Here is a 21,401-nt window from a genome sequence, read left to right on the forward strand (position 1 = left end):
TTGCTATCATATTTAAATTTCTTGCAGCAGTCCTTGGTTATTGTACTTGAAAATTTAAACAGCTCCAGTTAAGACACAAATGTCCTAGGAGTGATGGATGTGGTCTGGCAGAGGCCATTGTCACAGAAGATAGTGCAGGCTGCTGGAAGGAAGGGAAGGAAGCCGTTTCTGCCCACAGACCAAGAAGAGCACTTTCTGGACCCAGGGATCTGTGGATTTGAATGAGAATTTAGTTTACAATTGGGAAAAGTCACCTTTGTGTGGCTGCACAGGTCCCTCTCTACCTGGGTGCAGGTGTTTTGTTAAGGTGGCTGGGCACAACTTATATATACACAATTAAATGCAACCTTACATTGAACTCCAGTGCCTTCAACTGGTAAAAATGGAGCTGCTTTGATTGGGTTTTGAGTGAGGTGACAAAATTTCTCACTCTTGGCCTTCACCTCACCCTTACTCTCAACTCTACTTCTTTACCGCTGCAGTCCCTGAGGCCCACGTGGCTATCAGAAAAATAGCTTGAAAAATGTTAGTTTAGGACCACTTTTATTCACACTTATGAGGACATTGGAAGATTTAATTTGTGAATCAGAGATTTTGCATTTCTTTTTCCTTTTCATTAATCTCTTGGTAATAATAAAGATACTATAAAAGCAAAATCTTCCATCATTCCTGTAATGTGCCAGGCATCGTGCTAAGCACTTTACAGATAGCAGTTCATTTGATCTTTCCAACAACCCTATGTGGAAGGTGCTACTGTAATTCATGGGTTGTAAAACAATTTTCTCTCACATTTTAACATTTGTGAACTTAGAATGTATCTTACTTTTGATGGTGTGACATAGTTTAATGGGCAGCATTTTAAAATTTCTTAATGGACCATAACATAATGGTGTGTTTTACAATGACAGCTTAGATTCCATGAAATGCAATATTAATATTCCCATTTTACAAATGGAGAATGAAGGCACTGAGAGGTTCAGTAACTTTGCCCAATAATACACCTTGGCATCCTGGCTCAGAAGTATGCTCTTTTCCAGGCATTTGGCCTGGGCTTTCCCCTGTTTATCTCTGAATTGACATTGAGGGTTGCTCCCTGGGCCTCAGAGTTCCCCTGCAGTTCTGACACTGGATTTCATCCATTGGGTGGAGGGCTTCCTGCAGGCAGACACCCCTGGCAGGGTTAACACATCAAGCATTTTTCATTCTATCATTAACACTGCTGGAATTTGCTTATTATATTGCTTTTCCAAATGAAAACCAATTCCAGAACAGTCCTTTGGAGATGAGGCCCAGATCAAGTTTTGATAAGGGAAAAGACTGGAAGGATAGATGGTGTGCTAGAACTGATTTCAACTGGCTTGGAAGAGCTCTTGCTATCTGGTTGTTTGAAATCATTCTGCCAATAAAATTGACCATGGGGGAACTACTTACATCATAGAAATGGTCAAACGTTATGAATCAAGACTTTTTTGTTTGTTTGTCTGTTCTTTTAGCTTAAAAAAAGTTTTTTGGAGGCTATGCCATCCAATGTCTGTCCTTTTTAGAGAGCAGATTCAGAAGCACGTCAGCAGATAGACGCTCAACCATCTGATTTCCACAGAAAACTTCATTGGTCAAAACACAATAGTGGGAGGAAAGCAGGTAGACAGAGTGTGAAAAAATGAGCAGAATCCGAAGTTTTCAAAATAGTCTTAATGTCAAATAATTTCATTATTATTACAGTTAGATCTTGTGCATGTGTGTATCTGTTAATTTAATTCACGTTACCTTTTTTTTTTTTTTTTTTTTTTGAGACGGAGTCTCGCTCTGTCGCCCAGGCTGGAGTGCAGTGGCATGATCTTGGCTCACTGCAAACTCCACCTCCTGGGTTCATGCCATTCTCCTGCCTCAGCCTCCCGAGTAGCTGGGACTACAGGCGCCCACCACCACGCCCAGCTAATTTCTGTGTTTTTAGTAGAAACGGGGTTTCACCATGTTAGACAGGATGGTCTCGATCTCCTGACCTCATGATCCACCCGCCTCGGCCTCCCAAAGTGCTGGGATTACAGGCGTGAGCCACCGCACCCGGCCAATTCATGTTATCTTAATGTCATTATAGGTAGGAGAACATTGACACATATGCTATCCATATGTGTGGTGCTGTAGAGAAATAAAAATTATCCAAGGAGCGGCCAGGCACAGTGGCTCACGCCTGTAATCCCAGCACTTTGGGAGGCTGAGGTGGGCGGATCACAAGGTCAAGAGATCGAGACCATCCTGGCCAACATGGTGAAACCCCGCCTCTACTAAAAATAAAAAAAATTAGCCTGGCATGGTGGCGGGCGCCTGTACTCCCAGCTACTTGGGAGGCTGAGGCAGGAGAATCACTTGAACCCGGGAGGTGGAGGTTGCAGTGAGCCGAGATCACGCCACTGCACTCCAGCCTGGGCAACAGAGTGAGACTCTGTCTCAAAAAAAAAAAAAATTAGCCAAGGAGAGAGCACTGATCACTTTTAATTTTGTGTTCATTGCTAAGAGCAGGAAAGGCTAGGGAACTATTTGCCAACGGCAGTGAGTGGCCAACGGGGCTTCCAGGATCACCCAAGGGTAGCCCAGAAACAATAAATATTGGATCTCAGAGGGCATCCATGATCACCATATAAAAAGTGATCAGTGTATGTTCATTGCTGAGCTGAGCAATTATAGGAGTTCTCAAACAGTCACATCTCTTCCATATGAATTATTTTGGTTTTTTTTTTTTCCTCCTTGGTAATTCTCAGTAAAACCCACGAAACGAAAAGAGCTGTGGGCTTATCACGAGAAGGAGGAAGGAAGTGAGCAGAAAGAAGCACAGGAGGCCTCACTCTCCTCAGCCTAAAGAGAGAAAACTCCAGGGAACAGAATGGATTGTGGCAAGGTTAGAAAGAGACCCAAAGCAACCTGAGATCTCAGGTGTTTGGCAAAGAGGAAAGGAAGAGCCTGTAAATAGGCTGGGGTTTGAGGAGAAGCCGTTGGGGCTAAGAGTGAGGGGAGGGAGCTTGGGTCCTCAAACAGGAGCTCTTTGGTCATCTTGGGGCCACAGAAGTCACAAGACACTGTTGGGTATTGATGGTGGGGAAATGAGACAAGGGCAGGTGACCCCAAAAGCTGACTGGGGGAAGGGTTAGGGATTACGGTTGCCTTACAGACAGCAACGGGCCTGCCCATTTCTCATTTTCAAATTGGGCTATTTTAGAAAGAAATATCTTTGTGATTCTCTTCTGTTTAGAGCTGCCAAGGATTCAGTTCAAGAAAGGTATCTTTATGGATGTTAGGATGGAAATGTTAGCAGCTGGGTTCTTGGCTAACTTAGAAGGAGGGGTTTGGCTTTTTAGGGTATAATGTAAGGCTGGACAACAACTTCTGAAATAGCCTGCCCTGATACCTGCCCCCACTCCCGGAAAAGGGCTGCTCACAATTTATTAACAAATATGGCTCTTATTAATAATTCTTTGAGCTAGCAGAGCAATCCTAGCTGATTGAAAATAATTACCAGCCTCTCCAGTTGATTAAACAGCACATTTGGATTTTCATTTATATCATCATTTTGATTGAATGATGTGTGTGTACGTGGGGCTGTGTATTAACAAGGTGTCTCTTAAAAGTAATAATAAGTACTCAATGAGAAAGAGTTGCATATTGCTCAGTATAAAAGCAAAAACAAGAAGTCTAAGGCAGGTGAGCAAAAGAACAAAACTGGGACCTAAAATAAATTATGAAAGGCAGACTGTGACAGAGATAAAGTCTCATGGGACGCAATGATAAACACATAGAAAAATACTTATGACGTTCCAAGCATAGCATCAGAGGATTGAAAATTCTGGTCAGCATCAACAAACAAGCAGTGTAATTAATCTGGAACAGAAAGAATACCACAGATGTTTAAAATTTTTTTTTTCTACTGACTCAGTCTCCCGCATACTTACAAATTGAAGCATGTCGATTAATAGCTCCTGAGGTTCACGCCCAACGGGCCCAGTTCCAGGACTGTGTTTGCACTCAATGACATCCTTTTGGATTCAAACTATTTCCCCTAATCAGAATATAAGAATAATTAAAGCCTAAACTCTCTTTGTCTCGCAGTGGTCACCCAAGTGTGTTCTGTTAGAGATTCACTCAACAAGAATAACAAACAAAAACTCCCACCAGAAACTGCTGCGTCTCACAGAAGGGATGCAGGCTGCTCCTCTTTGCTCATGTAACTGAGTGTGGCGCAGCCTCATTCATAACACGATAGTGCTAACTTGCTTCCACCTGGTTCATTTGAATTCGGATTTTGCTGCAGGTCTCCCTCTGGTTTAGTTCCACAAACTTTAAATGCTAGAGAAAAGATTATGCAAACGTGGAAGTTCATAACAACCTGAGGCCATTTTATTTCACAACCTTGAGGAGTAGCGCAAATGTTTTCCTGGAGAGGTAAACCAAGTCACCAAGCTGCTCTGCTGGTGTCTTAACATTTCCTATCAAGTCAGAGGCAAAAAAAACATGAGAATCTCGGCCAGAATTGAAAATTCGCAGGTTTGTTAGAGCACTGCCCTCTCTTAAGCTGGCTTTTTGTTTTTTACCTGCAGTGCTGGTTAAACATGAAATTTTTCTGAAAGGGCAGGGAAAGGCAGAGTGGCCCATATGGATTGGAAAGAGCCAGCTCTGCTGAGGAAGACCTCATCTCAGACCTGGCAGCTCTTCCTTTAAAGAGTGTTGGCTCGCCGGGCGCAGTGGCTCATGCCTGTAATCCCAGCACTTTGGGAGACTGAGGCAGGCAGATCACCTGAGGTCAGGAGTTCAAGACCAGCGTGACCAACATGGAGAAATCCCGTCTCTACTAAAAATACAAAATTAGCCGGGCGTGGTGGCTCATGCTTGTCATTCCAGCTACTCAGGAGGCTGAGGCAGGAGAATTGCTTGAACCCAGGAGGCAGAGGTTGCCGTGAGCCGAGATCGCACCATTGCACTCCAGCCTGCGCAACAAGAGTGAAACTCCATCTCAAAAAAAAAAAAAAAAAAATGCTGGCTCACGGAGCTCCAGGTTACCCTTACCATGGATTGTGCAGATTTCTGAGTGTCCCAAGTCAGAAACATGGCCACCCCTGCCAGGCCCTTTTTAACCTGGAGAGTTCACCCCACGCCTTTCGTTGGACCCACCAAATCTCATATGGGGTTGACACAGGCAACAGCCATCTCACAAACACTGAAATTATATATAATGTACCAAACTGTGAGTTCCTGGATAAGGCCTTATACTTCTTTGCTATGAGATTGATCAGGAGCAAAATCCCTAGATCTCTTTCTGTTTGAGCTATTATTTAAAAAAAAATCTTTGTTATCTATCTTTAGCTGCCAAGGATTCAGCTAAAGAAAGGTATCTTTACAGGTCTTCAGGAGATTTTGGCAGTCAGGCTCTTGGCTAACTCAGAAGGAGGGTCTTGGCTATTTTGCTAAATAGGTTGGTAAAATAGAATATGGAGAGAAGACATGAAACTGTACTAAAAAGACAGTGTTCTTATCTCTAAAAATTGGGTATTCACAATTTAAATGTTATTTTAACTTAGAAATGCATTTTGTCCACATTTACATCCAAGATGCAAAGGTATTCTGACATACATACTTACACACACATAGAAAAAAGTATTCAAAGAGAGGCTGAGAAGTCACCTGTCCACTTAGTAACCAGAATAGAAATAGAAATAGAGAGCAGGTACAAAAATAATTTCTCAGAGTCTTTGGCCTACAAAAGATATATTTGGTTGTTCCATGCGAACTAGCCCTTCCCCCATTGCCTGTATATCCCGTCTTAATAATTCCCATCTCTTTTTATTCTTCCCCAAGTCACTAGGCTAAGAGAATGTTTCTAATTATCTCTAACAAACCCACTTAGGTTATGTTTACATAACAATAAGAAAATGTTTCAGGGAGGAATTAACTATTGCACTGGGGCGTAGGCATTAATTTCTTCATGTAAGATCCAGTTCTTCTTTACTGAATGTTTCATCAAAATGTTTATCTCAAACTAGTAGGCTCAGCCTGGTTAAGGGGTGTTTTCCACATAAAAGCCTCCTGATTGGACAAAAACTGGCCTCACCCAGGGTGTCCTAAGATGGTCTTATCTTTTAACACACTTTCTGACTCCTTTTAGACAAAAGAAGGAAACTAAAACAAAATTGGGGCTAACAATATGGTTAGGAAGATAGGACATTAGTATTAAACCAGGGACAGATATCCTTGTGAAAATGAAAGAAATGTAAAGGACAGAATCATTAAATTTCATAATAGAGCTGGAAGGACTTAAAACTAATCTAATCTTCCTTATTCTACAGCTGTGGAAATGGAGAACCACACAGAGCAAAGTGACTGACCACATTTTCTTTTTTCTTTCTCTTTTTTTTTTTTTTTTTTTTGAGACGGAGTCTTGCTCTGTTGCCCAGGCTGGAGTGCAGTTGAGCGATCTCAGCTCATTGCAACTTCTGCCTCCTGGGTTCAAGCAATTCTCCTGCCTTAGCCTCCCAAGTAGCTGGGACTACAGGGGCCGGCCATTACGCCAGGCTAATTTTTGCATTTTTAGTAGAGATGGGGTTTCACCATGTTGGCCAGGCTGGTCTCGAACACCTGACCTCATGACTGATCACATTTTCTAAAAGCACTGGCCTATGGTCCAAGAGCTAATGTAAACATTTCAAGGCAGATTTTTCTAGATATGCTAGAAAAAAAACTCATCCAATATTCTCTTTTATTCGAAAATCCAATCATTCATATTACAGTCTTTTCCCATATTTCTCTCAAATTTCTCATGCTGACTAGTTCAGGCCAGGTCTAATTTTTGGTAAACTGTCTTGGGGGGCAAATATTCCAAGAGAAGGACCTAGAGTCTGCCCCTGGGTAGAGGGAACCATACCTGCAGCTAGAGATAAACCACTACAGCTGCCAACGTAGGCCTTTGTGCTTAGCAGTTTGCCCGTGACTTGTAGCTAAGGCTTCTTTAGCACACAGGAGACAGAATTCTAATCAGGACCATGTTTTCTGGGTTTACTATACCCCGGCTCAGTCTGAGGGACAGAGAGGAGTGGTTTTGTTTTGATCACTTTCATTTGTGGCAGTCTATGCCTGCCTCTTGCTCTTTCAACAAATCCATGAGATTCCTCATTCTCCTCTTTCCTCTTTTTTAAAATCTTAATTTCCTAGTCATTTCAAATTTGCTGTTTTTCGATTTTCTCCTCCACCTGTCCTTCACCTTAATCCTCTAATCCCATTCGAGCAAAGTAGTAAGTTCTTTTCTTTGTTTTCTCCCCGTAGTTTTCTATTTTTTATTTATTTATTTTTATATCTTGGGAAGTTTACCCTTTTTGCCAAATGTGAATTATGCTCATTTGGACATTTAAGAATTCATTTTCTAGTTTTGATGAGGCTAAAATACTACGGTTTTTTCACTTTTTTTTTTTTTTTTCTAAATCACTAAACTTCTTGAAAGAGGTCTACACTTGGTCTATACTTAGTGTCTTTACATTTCATTAATTCCTCAACCCAATACTGTCTGGCTTCCACCAACACCACTCAATTAAAAATACTCTCTGACCAACATCCTCCCAAGTGGGCAGTTCAATGGCCTCACTTTCTCTTGTTATCCTACTTGACATTTATGCAACATTTGACACGGTTGACCAGTCCCTCCTTATTGAAACTCTCTCTTCTTTCTCCGCCTCTTTTATTTCACCAGCTTCTGCCTCTCTAAGCTTTCTTCTTGGGCTTCCTTTGCTGGTTTCTCCCACCCTTTGATGTTGTTTTTCTAGGGGATCAATTTATGGTCAGCTCACACTGCACACTCCTGCCCTATTCTAATTTCTTTAATAGCTCCATAAGCATTGATAAAGTTCTGTGGCTCATAACTTCTCAGCTGAAGTCCAGTTCATATTTCCTAGGGCCTATAGGACATCTCTTATTTTCTCTGAACAGGCTGTATTACTGTTATTATTATTACCATTATCATGATCATCATGATTAAATTCTCCACCAGTTTGCACATGCTGTTTTCTTTGCTTCCTACATCCTTCTTTCACCACACCAGCTTGGAGCACTCCCGCTAATTATTCAAGACCAGCTCTCCTGCTATCTGTTCTTTGTCACTCTTAGGAAGAGTTAGTTGTTATTTCCTTTCTTCTTTTTGAAGCATTTTGATAGACATAATGACTTACATTAATGGAATTCTTAGGTGCCAATTGCTGATCTAAATTTTTCACACACATTATCTCATTCATTCTGCCTGGTAGCCTCTGATAAAGTTACTCTACCAATTTTGGATGAGGAACCTAAGACTCCATGTAGTAACTTGACCAGGGTCCCATAATAAAGTTTCAATTCCAGGGAGTCTGAATAACCTCCCCAAATAATAGTAGCTAACTTTTACTGACTGATTACTTTGTGCGTGGATTTTCTGTGTTGTCTCATTTAGTCCCCAGAACAGTTAGGAAGGAGTATAATCATGATACCTATTTTATAAATGAGGAAATTGAGGCGTATCTTGCTCAAAACTGCATAGCCTATGAAGTAGCCAAGTGAGAATGTACTTTGTATTATTTATCTCTATGACAAAACTTCCCAAATTGTTCTATGAGTAACCACTTAGGTGCTTCCATCTTGCACACTTCCTTCAGCTCCTTGAAGGCCCAGATGATGTCATTTTCAACTTTAAAACCTTTTATCTAGTCACAAAATGCAAGTTGGATCAATGTGGAGAGAAAGAGAGACCGATAGACAGATTGGCTATTGTTGTCTTTGGGTTGTTTTTCTAGGGCAACTGATATGCACCCACTTTATTATATGTTTTCCATTGCAAATCATTTGTTTTGTGTAGCATTATGAAGTCTAATGTGAAAATGCTGTCTCTGCAAACTTTCTTTTTGAGTAAAAATAGTTTCAGTTCCCAAAGGTAAAATAACTGCTGCCCTGACAATCTGTATCTGCTTCTCTCTCCCTTTAGCAGTTTTTTAGCTGTTGTGTTCAGATGGAAAGTTTACTTGAAAAGACCCTTATCTATTCAGAGATAAATACCACATTTCACAGAATATAAGCTGACAACAAATTCAAGTCATGTCATAGTCTGAAAGAGGACTTTTTTTGTTGAGTGAGACTGTACCCATCTCAGGTACTTGACAGCTCTATTAGTGTTTGTGAAATTACAAAAGTAATACATTATATTGTAGAAAATATCCAAAATACAAAATTGTATATAGTAAAATTTTAAAATCTCCTTTGCTATATATCCTCAATTATTTTCCTTCATTCATTTTGCTTACTATACTTTTTCTAGGCATTATAAACACAAATGTGCATATATGCGTACATGTTGAGTTTTTTAATTTCATAAACTGAGATCACAGTATACACTTTCTTTAGCACATTTTTCTTATAACAATATATCTTCACGTGTCTGTATGAATCAATCTACTTCAATCTTTTTAATGGCTACATAGTGTTCTACGTTAAGGAATGCATACCCTGTAAACCAATTCCATTTAGAAGAATACATGGATTGGTTTCCACAATGCTAACTACATACATATCTTTGTGCACACATGCAAGATTTCTGAGGCTGAGTTCCTCAAAGTAGAGCTGCTGGGTCACTTGGATAGACTCTTCTTGTGGTAGCTGGCCTCCAATAGCTGCCCCCACCACACCACACCTTCCAGATTCACATTCTAATGTGGAAGCTGCCCACATGAGTCTGGGCTACCCATCTTTACAATTTTAGCAAACATAGTAAAATCTATCTACCGTATTTTAATCAACATGGAGAATTTATCTGAATCTATAACTTCCTCTTTCTCCTGAACATGACCAAACCGGTAGCACGCTTTTACTTTTCCCTCTCCTCTCCCATTTTCTGTATTTAATGAAATCCTCTTGCACCATGTCATTTCTTTTTAAATTGCTCTTTTGTAGTTTTAATTTTTTCCACTGGAATAGACATCCTGGTGGTAAGGATTATAAATCATTGCATGTGTAACAATATCTTTATATTTTCTGCATTCTAGATTGATGTTTTCTCTGGTTATGGGATTCTGGGTTCAAGAGAGTTTTCTCTTCTCTTTTTAAAGCAATTTCTTTGTTATGTAGTACTTGTTGATATAAAATGTGATGACAAACTGATTTTTGTTCTTTTAGGTTACCCATGTTTTTTTCTCCTTGGAAAATTTTTAGATTTTTTTTCTCTTTGTCCTTGTAACTCAATAATCTCACTAAGATTCCTTTCTGTTTTTGTTTGCTTTTTAACATTTTCTGACTCAGCAGTTTGTCAGCCATTATCAGGAAGGACATTCAGATTCTGGAATCCTAAAGCTCTCATAGCAAGGAGGCTGAATTTTCTTTTGTGATTATTTCCTGCCTGATACTCCCCCCAACCTTTTTTTTTTTTAATTTTTTTTTTTTAATTTTAAAGAACTGTCAAGCTGTGAGAAAAACCAAAACAATATTATAGAGAAGGAGAAAAATCGGATGTGCATGATTTTAAAAAAATCTTCAACAGTTACATTATTTGTTAATAGCTTTTGACGACCAATCATTCTACTTTTTCCTACTGAATAGGCTTGAATATCTGAAAATAAGATATGTTATCATTCTTCTTGGTCATGAAGGCTACATAGTTACAGCCAGGCACGAGAAATTTAAATTACAGAATTGATGTATTCCCAGGGGTGAGGAAAATCTGCTTTCTGTGTCCCAAAGCCTATATTCTTACTCATTTTCTTGATAAAATTGGAGATGGGCTTGTCTGGAATAGTAATTTGGCCCCATTCATTATGAAATCATTTTCAACAGTTTAACAAGTGCATTTAGATTACATATTTAGATTGCATGAATTTCTAAAAAATATTAATAATATATAAAACTAATGTAAGCTGTCAAAATAAGTCCCTAGCCTAAATAAATAGCTTAAATGTATTAAAGGAAAAACGGTGGATCTAACTGAATATCCATGGGCTAATCTTCAATGAATGTCTCTCTGTGCCAGGTACCTCTGCTATTTTGTATAAGCATTGCTTCTTTTAATCTTCTCAGCAGTCCAGTGAGGCAAGCAATGTTATTACTCTATTTTACATAGGAGGAAACTAAAGTTGAGAGAACTTGCCTAGGATCGTGCAATTAACAAACAACTTGCTGTGATTGAATCCATTCTGCCTAATTCCTCAGGAGTGTTCTCTTATGGTGCACTGTGATTTGAGAAGTGTTCAGGGGCCAAGTGTGGTGGCTCACGCCTGTAATCCCAGCACTTTGGAGGCTGAGGTGGGAGGATCACTTGAGGTCAGGAATTTGAGACCAGCCTGGCCAACATAGTGAAATCCCATCTCAACCAAAACTACAAAAATTAGCCAGGTGTGGTGGCAGTGCCTGTAGTCCCAGCTGCTTGGGAGGCTGAGGTAGGAGACTCGCTTGAACCCAGGAGGTGGAGTTTGCAGTGAGCCGAGATGGTGCCACTGCATTCCATCCTGGGTGACAGAGCGAGACTCTGTCTCAAAAAAAAAAAAAAAAGAAAGAGAGTGTTCAGGAGCTCAAGTCTCTGCATCTCACAATCAGAGAAGACATCCTGGAGGTGGAGGCTCCTGAAGGGATCAGCAGGTGAAAAAGAGAAAGGTATTTTAGGAAAGGGCAATTTTTATAATGATACCCAAGAGTGAAGGGTGCGGCCCATTGGGGAGGATTGTAGGTTGTTGTGTATGGTTTTAAGCATCCCTGTATAAGCCATCAACTTTTCTGAGGCCTGTGTTTGGTACTTTGAATTTTATCAACATTTTGTCTTTTGTCTACACAATTGTCTATTCAGTGATACTCATCAATGAATAAGTGGTTGAAATAACGGAGTGAATGGAGATCTGGTTATTTCAATCACATGGACATAGCTGTAAGATTCAGTTTCCACTATTTAGAATTGGAACCTAAATTACCATGGACTTGAGATAAAATTTATTATAAATGCATGATGAGATTCATTCATATTTATTTATCCAAACAACAGACAGTATGAGATCTTCATGATTCTGGACCATAAGGATTCCAAATAGGCTGTTCACTTATGAGTAGGCCTGTAACACGGACGTGTGAGAATAAACGCCAGAGAAAAATTTTTGGTAAGTAATGTACTTTCAATTTTAAACTTTCAGAGTGTTTCTATGCACATGAATGAATCAAGAGCCAGTGGATGGTTAAGAAAATGCTTTTCACAGAGCCCTTTAAAATTTAACAGGTGCCAAAGAAATTCTACCAAAGAAGCTGAAGTGCATTTTAAGTGTGTATTATCTTCAGTGTTATTGCCTGATACAAGGACAGAATATGAGACCAAGTATCTCTATCCAGGGAATGCATAAATTCCAACTCTGGGTTATATTTCATTATGCTCCAGAAATATCCTGGATGATTAAAGTAATTCATTGTAAAAAAAATGCACCAATTCCTACAGATTTTTGGTTTTCATATGACATAACAAAAAACTTGAAGTAATGAGTTGTACTGTGATTTTATTACATCAACCTACTACTGGTTGTTATATGTCATGTTTATCTGTGGGATCCAATGTAATTGTGTGTGTTAGGCTAAATTCCTTCGTAATTTGAACTCCTCTCTATTGGAATGATCTCTGAGCACTTTAAGGCCTTGGTATCTCTTCAAAAACAAAGGTCTTATCTCTTTAGATCTCACCCTGAATTCCATTTGCCTCTGAATCTCAATCAAAGACAACAGAATAATCCAATTCCCTTTGAAATTTTTGATGCAATCTGATATTGACATGGATCTCAAGAGTAGTCTATGTGAAAAGCATGCTCTCATACTGGATCATTGCCCACATTGTTTTTCTGTATGTGATTCAAAGCTGTTTAGACCAAGGTTTCTCTCAAGTCCCTCATACTATCACAGCTTGGATAAATTCACTTTAGTGTAAAAACATCTTGGTATATCAGCTTCATGAATTTAGGAAATATAAGGGTGTTGTCAGGAAAAAGTGGTATGATTAATCCTTGATATAAGAAAAAGAAGAATGTAATTTGAGACCAAGCTATTGTTCAACAGATGGGCTATTTCTAAGGGCTGACTTCTAGTTTGGAGACGGGCTTGCCTGTAGGACTTGTGATTCTTGTGCAACATCAAAGAGGGAACGGAGGATGTAGGGCTGAACTTACAAGTCACAACATGTTTCCTGGGGCATGAACATTCCTCTTTCTACTCTGGCCCCTAAATTTTATCCTTCAGTGGCCTTCTATTACACCAATTCTCTGAGCCTCTCATATGGGCACTTAATCTATTTATTCTTTTGTCTTGTTTTCAAATTGTCCATGTGTTGACTTGCCTTCACAACCAGATTGAAAGGTCCTGGAGAGCAAGGGTCATGGTTTTTTTTTTTTTTTTCTTGAGATGGAGTCTCATTCTGTCACCCAGGCTGGAGTGCAGTGGTGCAATCTCGGGTCACTGCAACCTCGGTCTCCCGGGTTCAAGCGAGTCTCCTGCCTCAGCCTCCCAAGTAGCTGGGACTACAGGCATGTGCCACCACATCTGGCTAATTTTTTATTTTTAGTAGAGACGGGGTTTCACCATGTTGGCCAGGCTGGTCTTGAACTCCTGGCCTCAGGTGATCTGCCCGCCTCAGCCTCCCAAAGTGCTGGGATTATAGGCGTGAGCCACTGCACCTGCCCAAGGCCCCTGTTTTACATCGCTTTTGTGGCCATTACAGCATCTGATAGTGTGCTGAGGTCACAGGAGACTTCTCTCAATCCTTGTGAAATGGATTCAAATTGAGTAAGGAACCTTGGGAATCTTGACCCAGTGCCAGCACAGATTCCGCAAAATCTATTCTTTCTCATTGGCAGCCACCTCACATCTCATTGTCTGCCCAAGTGCTCTCCGGTGCCTCAACTACCCACATGCATTCTTCTCCTCAAAAGGCATCTTCATTTTTAGCACACCTCAATGGTTTTCCCATTTCTAGTCATTTTCTTCTTCTTGAATGCCAAATTCAGTTAGAGGGCATTAAATGTTTTTTTTAATAAATAATTAACAGGCTAATAGTTAACAAAAACAGATTAACAAATTAATAATTAACAAGTTTAATAGATTATACCTGTGTGATTGCCTCGTCGCAACACGGGATTTAATAATGATATGCTTAAAGGCCGCATAAGTGGATTTTCAGTGTATGAATACAGTTTTTACTTACCATGGCAAAATTCTCATCTTTGCTTGCAAAGCCCAAGCTATTCCTTTATTTTTTTCATTTCCTCTTTTCTCTTAAAAATGTATATTATCTCTAATTCTAAAATTGATAAGTAGGCCGGGCGCAGTGGCTCACACCTGTAATCCCAGCACTTTGGGAGGCTGAGGTGGGTGGATCACCTGAGGTCCGTAGTTTCAAGACCATCCTGGCTAACACAGGGAAACCCCGTCTCTATTAAAAATACAAAAATTAGCTGGGCGTGGTGGCGGGTGCCTGTAATCCCAGCTACTCGGGAGGCTGAGGCAGGAGAATCGCTTGAACCCAAGAGGCAGAGGTTGCAGTGAGCCGAGAACGCACCACTGCACTCCAGCCTGGGCGACAAGAGTGAAACTCTGTCTCAAAAAAAAAAAAAAATCGATAAGTAGTTACTGTAAAGATTTTCTCAAATGCAGGAGGACAACAACAGCAAAAATCTACCCATAATCCCATCATCCGGAGATAAACATGACTAAAATAATTTTCTTCCAGGCTTTCTTATGCATATGCATGTGCATGACCCTTGCTTCATAAGCTTGGATATATGACATGTTTTCTAATTTCCTTAAATCCAAATGAAATCTGGCATTATCCTTCCAGAGGATACTACAATCACCTTGCCAACTTTGAGAAAACTTCACTGATGTTTTTATTATAATTGACTGGAAATGATAAATTAATGCATGGAAAGTAGGTATTTTGATAATATTTAGTCTCATCTAAGAATATGGTATATGAACTTTATTCAAGTTTTCTTTTGTCTCTCAGTAAGTTGTTGTAGGTGTTTTGTGTGTGTGTGAGGTGGGGAAATACAGAAGTCGTACCCTTTCTAAGTTATTTCTAGGTATTTAACATTTTTTAAAACTGCAATCATGAAAAGAATCTGTTTATCCTTACATTTACTGCTATTGCTGGCATTATTTAAGAAGGTACTGATTTTGGGGGTATGTACTTTGTTTTCGATCATATTAGGTGAACATTCTTATTAGTTCTATCATCATAGTTTTTCAATGTATTCCCTGAAAGTTCTAAGTAGACCATAGCATCATTTATGAATAATAATAGTTATAATTCTTATTTCCATTTCATCTCTTACTGCATTGACTAGAATGCGTAGAACAAGATTAACAATGCTGGCATCCCTGTTTTAAAAGGAATGGATTGAGTGTTTTATGAACATATTTTAGCTGCTTTTTGAGATAAATGTTCTTTTTCATGCTAAGTAATCAATAGTTGCTTTTAAAATATGTTGTTTGGATTAAGAGTTTCTTAGAATTTTGCAGCCACCTGTTTTAAAAAAAAATCCATTGTCTTGATGGTAAAAGTGTGAACTTAAGCACAATTTACTAAATATTGATCACTAATGGATAGTAGTAGGGTAATTATAATAGCTATTAACACTTGTAACATTTGTTTACATTATTCCACTTAACTTAGACTTTATTGTCCTATTTACATTTTTGTTTTTATCAGTTATATTTGCATTTTTCTTTCTTCTTCCACTGCACCATAATCTTCTTGGTAAGTCATATTTTTCTTTTGGAAAATCCACAATGTCTTCTAAAGTGTTCACAATCCATGAATATGTGTTATTGATGACCTACTTACTTAGCACTAATAAAAACAATAATAGCAACTTAATATTTATTGAGCACTTAGTATGTGCCAGACAGTTCTAAACACTTTATACACTACCTTTTTTTTTTTTTGAGACGGAGTCTCGCTCTGTCACCCAGGCTGGAGTACAGTGGCACAATCTCGGCTCGCTGCAAGCTCTGCCTCCCGGGTTCATGCCATTCTCCTGCCTCAGCCTCCTGAGTAGCTGGGACTACAGGCGCCCACCAACACGCCTGGCTAATTTTCTGTATTTTTAGTAGAGACGGAGTTTCACCGTGTTAGCCAGGATGGTCTCGATCTCCTGACCTCGTGATCCACCCACCTTGGCCTCCCAAAGTGCTGGGATTACAGACATGAGCCACCGTGCCCGGCCTACACTAGCTTTTTAACCCACACAGTAATCCTTAGAAGTATTAGATACTATTATACACTTTTTTCCATATGAGGGAACTGGGAGAGATTAAGCAGATTGTTTGAGGTGTGCACCTAGGCAATTATAGAGCCTGAATTTGAATCTAGGCAACCTAACCCCAGAGTGATGCTCCTTTCCATAGATGGCCATGTTACTGTATAAATCATGCTGGTAAAACTTCTTTAAATACAATTTTGATCCTGCTTTATACCTATGCAACACTGAGCAACCAATATGGTAGGGTAAGACTCGAAAGATGTTTCTCTGGAATAGCATTTAATTTTTGCTTTTGTTTGTACTTCTCAAGATTGAATTTTTGATTCATCTATGTGAAATGGCCCTAAGAATGTCTTATTCTGTAATCTTCATAGTTTAAGATAGATTAATCCATGAAACTAAAGCCATAAAGTTATCTCTTTACTAAGGAATTATCTCTTGAATCTTTGGCAAAATTAATTAATTAATTAATTAATTATTTACATTTTTTTTGAGATGGAATCTCACTCTGTCACCCAGGCTGGAGTGCAGTGGTGCGATCTCAGCTCACTGCAAGCTCCGCCTCCTGGGTTCACACCATTCTCCTGCCTCAGCCTCCTGAGTAGCTGGGACTACAGGCTGCCGCCACCACACTCGGCTACTTTTTTGTATTTTTAGTAGAGATGGGGTTTCACCGTGTTGGCCAGGATGGTCTCGATCTCCTGACCTCATGATCCACCCGCCTCGGCCTCCCAAAGTGCTGGGATTACACGCATGAGCCACCGCGCCTGGCCAATTCTTTATTTTTATTGAAAGCAAAGATTATTTTATCTTTGTGGCAGAATCAATATTCACTGTTAGTAAATTACAATGATGCATACCAGCTTTGAATAGTCTACACTGAGACAGATTTCCCAGGATTTTCTGGCTAACTAGTTAAACTGTCTGTACTCTGTTGAGTACAGGGTGGACTCACAGGGGCCCGGAGGAAGTGTGGAGCAATGGGGCTGTGGTCCAACTATCACCAGTCACTTGTGTGATCACTGGAAAACCAGCAAAGTGTTCTTGTGTATGAAAGAGTATGTCCAACTAAGTAAAATAGGATTAAATTTTCTTCTAGAGGTAGATGTTTATTGTTTATATGACTGAGAAATTCAGAAGTTTCAAAAATATATTTTGATATACATAAAGACAATTCTACTTTTTGGCCATTTGAAATCTCTCAATATCTTGTTTAATCAATATACACACTATCTGAAAATCTTAAACATTACCAGTTTACAATATACATTAAACATCTTCAATTCTGAGTGACAGAATCATCATTCTTATGCTCCTTTAGAACATAAATTTAATTGACTCTTCTAGATATACTGTAGCTGCAATCACATTCATGCTCCTTTTCTTTATCCCATATGTTCACAAACAATTAAAATAATAACAAAATAATAGCTGCCCCTGGTTCCACTATAAAAATAGTGCTTTAGAAAGAGTTTATTTCAGGTTATCAAACACTACTTATTTTCACAGTTTCAAGTCTATCGGCAAAATTCTATTTTCCCATAATTTTAATTTCTACCAGCTTAGATTATAGTCCTTGGAGTTGATGTTTCTCAAACTAATCAAGCTTCTTTATTGAAAAAGAACTTTTTCCCACATTTATTTTGTATCTCCCAGTTGTGACTACTTTCAGTGTTTTAATTGCAGGTTAGTTTGGGCTATCTGCATAAAGATGAATTAGTTTGGAAGCCAAATTTCATTACTCCTACTACAAAGATAGGCTCAATAACAGATGCAACAAATTTTAACTATCATTTCCGTCGGGATCACAGATGGTATTGACATGGAATGCATCTGTGGCACAGGCCAGCGAAGAGATGGGTTGGCTTCCTCTTCGAGTCAGAGCAAAAGGATGTGGCAAAAAAGATCTAAGGATGCCATGAGGAATTCCATGTGTACATGCAGGTCGTGGTGAGTCAATTATAACAGATTCAGAGCTCATCTGTGGGGAACCTGGGGAAAGACTGGGTCCCGGGTGAGCCACAGTTTTTCTACTCCGTTTCTGGCAGAATCTAGAATGAAGCATACATGTGATAAAGTGTTTACACTTAAAGAATAGATAGAAAAGACTTCTAAGTGGGACAAGTGTTTTAGCAAGCAGGAATATGGTCACAGTAAGTGTGAATCCCCTTGCACTACTGTCAAGGAGAGTTATGCATCCAGAGATAAATGAAGTGGCAAGGTAAATAGATAAAACCTATATGTGAAAGATAAAAAGTAAAAATAAATGTGAGGCAGGATTGTACTATTGAGTATATAATTGAGTATATTGACAAGGATATACAAGAGGGCTGAGATTAGCCAGTTGTTAATTTAACAAATACTACTGGGCACCTACTATGTGCTAGAAACTGTGAGAGTTCCCAAGAGACAACAACGTGCAAACTAAACATGGTTCTGAATTTTCCAGAGTTTATAGTCTTGTTGGGGAGGCTTTATGCATGGTAAAACACTAGCACCAATGTAAAGGATAAATATATCATAGAAACAATCTTTTTCTTTTGCTTTTGCTTTTTCAAGACAGAGTCTCGCTCTGTCGCCAGGCTGGAGTGCAGTGGCGAGATCTCGGCTCACTGCAACCTCCGACTCCCGGGTTCACGCAATTCTCCTGTCTCAGCCTCCCGAGTAGCTGGGATTACAGGCATGCGCCACCACACCCAGCTAATTGTATTTTTTTTTTTCGGTAGAGATGGGGTTTCACCATGTTGGCCAGGATGGTCTCGATCCCCTGACCTCATGATCCGCCTGCCTCAGCCTCCCAAAGTGCTGGGATTACAGGCATGAGCCACTGCGCCCAGCCCAATCTTTTTCTTTTTATCATTCACAATATTTGTACTTGTAGATTCCATCCTTTTCACTATCATAAACTATTAGTGAAACAATAAGCATTTTACACATATTAACTCACTTAATTATTGCAATACTTTCTGCAGCAGAACTATTAATATTCTCAGTTTTACAAATGAATATGCTGAGGTGTAGAAAGATTGGAGTTATCTGCTCAAAACTGAACAGCTTTTAGCTGGGGGGCTGGGAACCAAACCCTGGCAGTCTAGAGGTCCGGAGTGTGTGCTCCTAATCATGACTGTATTGCAGTGATGCAATTCTTCACGTTAAACTTCCTGTAAAACTTTATGCAGAGTGCTACTATTTATTAATTTCCCTTTCATGGGATCATAATGTTCCTGTGCCATTTATGTTTTCTGGAATGCTCTGCATACAATGAGCCTTTGGAATATGTTATTGATAAGTGGCCTCATCAGCCAGACTAAGAGGGTCATCTTGTTGCATAAATGGTGATGGTAAACTTCATTAAATGTAGTTTTAATCCTGTTTGGTAACTGTCAGTTAACCTCAGTTGACAGGCTTTTAAGTAAGAATAAACCCTGGGGAAGTAAGGAGGACTTATCTCGGGAAAGTTCCTGGCATATGCCATACAGTGATGCTTCAAGGAGGCTGGGAGGATAGATGGTGACCAACAGCATCTCTCTGAGGAGGCTATTCTTGGGACAAAACTCCTCTACCTTCCTTTTTTTTTTTTTCTTTTGAGACAGGGTCTCACTCCGTCGCCCAGGCTGAGTGCAGTGGCATGATCCTGCCTCATTGCAACCTCTGCTTCTCAGGTTCAAGAGATTCTCATGCCTCAGCCTCCCGAGTAGCTGGGACTACAGGCGCACACCACCACGCTTGGCTAATTTTTGTATTTTTTGGTAGAGACAGGTTTCACTGTGTTGTCCAGGCTGGTCTCGAACTCCTGGCCTCAAGTGATCCACCCTCCCGGCCTCCAAAAGTGTTAGAATTACAGGTGTGAGTCACCGTGCCCAGTCTACCTGCTTTTTCTCCATAGTGCAATTCTCTCTTCACTTTCATTCTCCATAGAACGTGCCTTGTTATTACACTCTGCTTCTATTGCTTCATGGCACTGACTGCACACTTATTTCCACAGTGCTTTGTATTTGCTGACATACTTCCGAGCCTCAGTTTTAAATTTCCCATGAGATAGTATCCCATGAGACCTGGTTTAAGGCACCTGGTTTAGGGCAGAGGTTTGGTGCTGGTGTTCCCATGAGTTGATGACCAGTCTGGACCTCGACTCAGAAGTTGACCCTGGTCCACTAATTTGTGGCCAGGTTGTGATATGTCAGCAGCTTCTGCAGGGAGAATCTGGGATGTGAGTAGTAAAATTACTGAACACAATTTGTGTAGCTTTTTCAGTATATACAATTATTAATGTATTTCCACATCGAATACCTGACTTATGATCCATGTCAGTAATTTGTGTGGCCAGTGGGACAGGGAACAGAGAAAGAATCTGTTAGAATGAAAAGAGAATTAGGGAAGATGGACCATGAAACTGTTAGAATTTCATAAATATTAAATTTTGAACAAATTTCTAAAAACAGAGTTGTTCATAATGTGGTTAATTATGAAGTTGTTGATAATAAAGTAATAGGGCAGAAAGGAACCTTAGGAGATTAACTAGATCATTTGCTACTCTGAGAAACTAAAACAGGTGGATGCCAACCATTTAAACATTTATATCCAGAGGAAAACCTTCTAAAAACTGTGGAACAATGTGCTCTTGAGAAGCCACTAAAATAGGTGGCCTGCGCCTCCTCTCAATCTCTTCATCTCCGTTACTCCTTTTAATTTCTCTTTGCACCTATCGCTACTTGCACAGCACATATCTATGCCTTTATTTGTGCTTGTCTCTCCTGCTAGAATATAAGGTTATTCTAGCTGCTTGGTCTCTTTCACTCAGCACTCTATTTCCAGTGCCTAGAAAGTACCTGGCCTGTGGTAGATGTTTATAAATGTTTGTTGAGGCCGGGCGCAGGGGCTCACACCTGTGATCCCAGCACTTTGGGAGGCCGAGGCGGGCGGATCAGTTGAGGTCAGGAGTTTGAGACCAGCCTGGCCAACAGGGTGAAACCCCAATGTCTACTAAATACAAATATTAGCTGGGTATGGTGGCGGATGCCTGTAATCCCAGCTACTCGGGAGGCTGAGGCAGGGAGAGTTGTTTGAACCCGGGAGGCAGAGATTGCAGTGAGCCAAGATCATGCCGCTGCACTCCAGCCTGGGTGACAGAGT

The 21,401-nt window shown here is 39.9% G+C and overlaps 1 long non-coding RNA gene across 1 annotated transcript in view, besides 2 other annotated features; it reads left to right on the top strand.

Annotated features, from left to right (window-relative positions):
• The window catches only part of LOC107986651 (uncharacterized), a 38,036-nt gene extending 19,872 nt beyond the window's left edge, over nt 1-18,164 (top strand). The window contains exons 5-6 of the long non-coding RNA XR_001744382.1: nt 12,020-12,131; nt 18,080-18,164. This is a non-coding gene — a long non-coding RNA (uncharacterized LOC107986651). The remainder of the gene's footprint in view (nt 1-12,019; nt 12,132-18,079) is intronic.
• Nucleotides 5,873-6,325: a transcriptional cis regulatory region, noted in NCBI's record as "candidate enhancer chr6.4959 targeted for multiplex CRISPR interference". NCBI's record gives its function as "positively regulates CITED2 gene expression with high confidence in K562 cells {active_cell/tissue: K562}" and the evidence as "EXISTENCE:mutant phenotype evidence [ECO:0000015][PMID:30612741]".
• Nucleotides 9,612-9,740: a transcriptional cis regulatory region, noted in NCBI's record as "candidate enhancer chr6.4960 targeted for multiplex CRISPR interference". NCBI's record gives its function as "positively regulates CITED2 gene expression with high confidence in K562 cells {active_cell/tissue: K562}" and the evidence as "EXISTENCE:mutant phenotype evidence [ECO:0000015][PMID:30612741]".
• Nucleotides 18,165-21,401: the final 3,237 nt, after the last annotated feature.

This window comes from Homo sapiens, chromosome 6 (assembly GCF_000001405.40).
Source record: "Homo sapiens chromosome 6, GRCh38.p14 Primary Assembly".
NCBI lineage: Eukaryota > Metazoa > Chordata > Mammalia > Primates > Hominidae > Homo > Homo sapiens.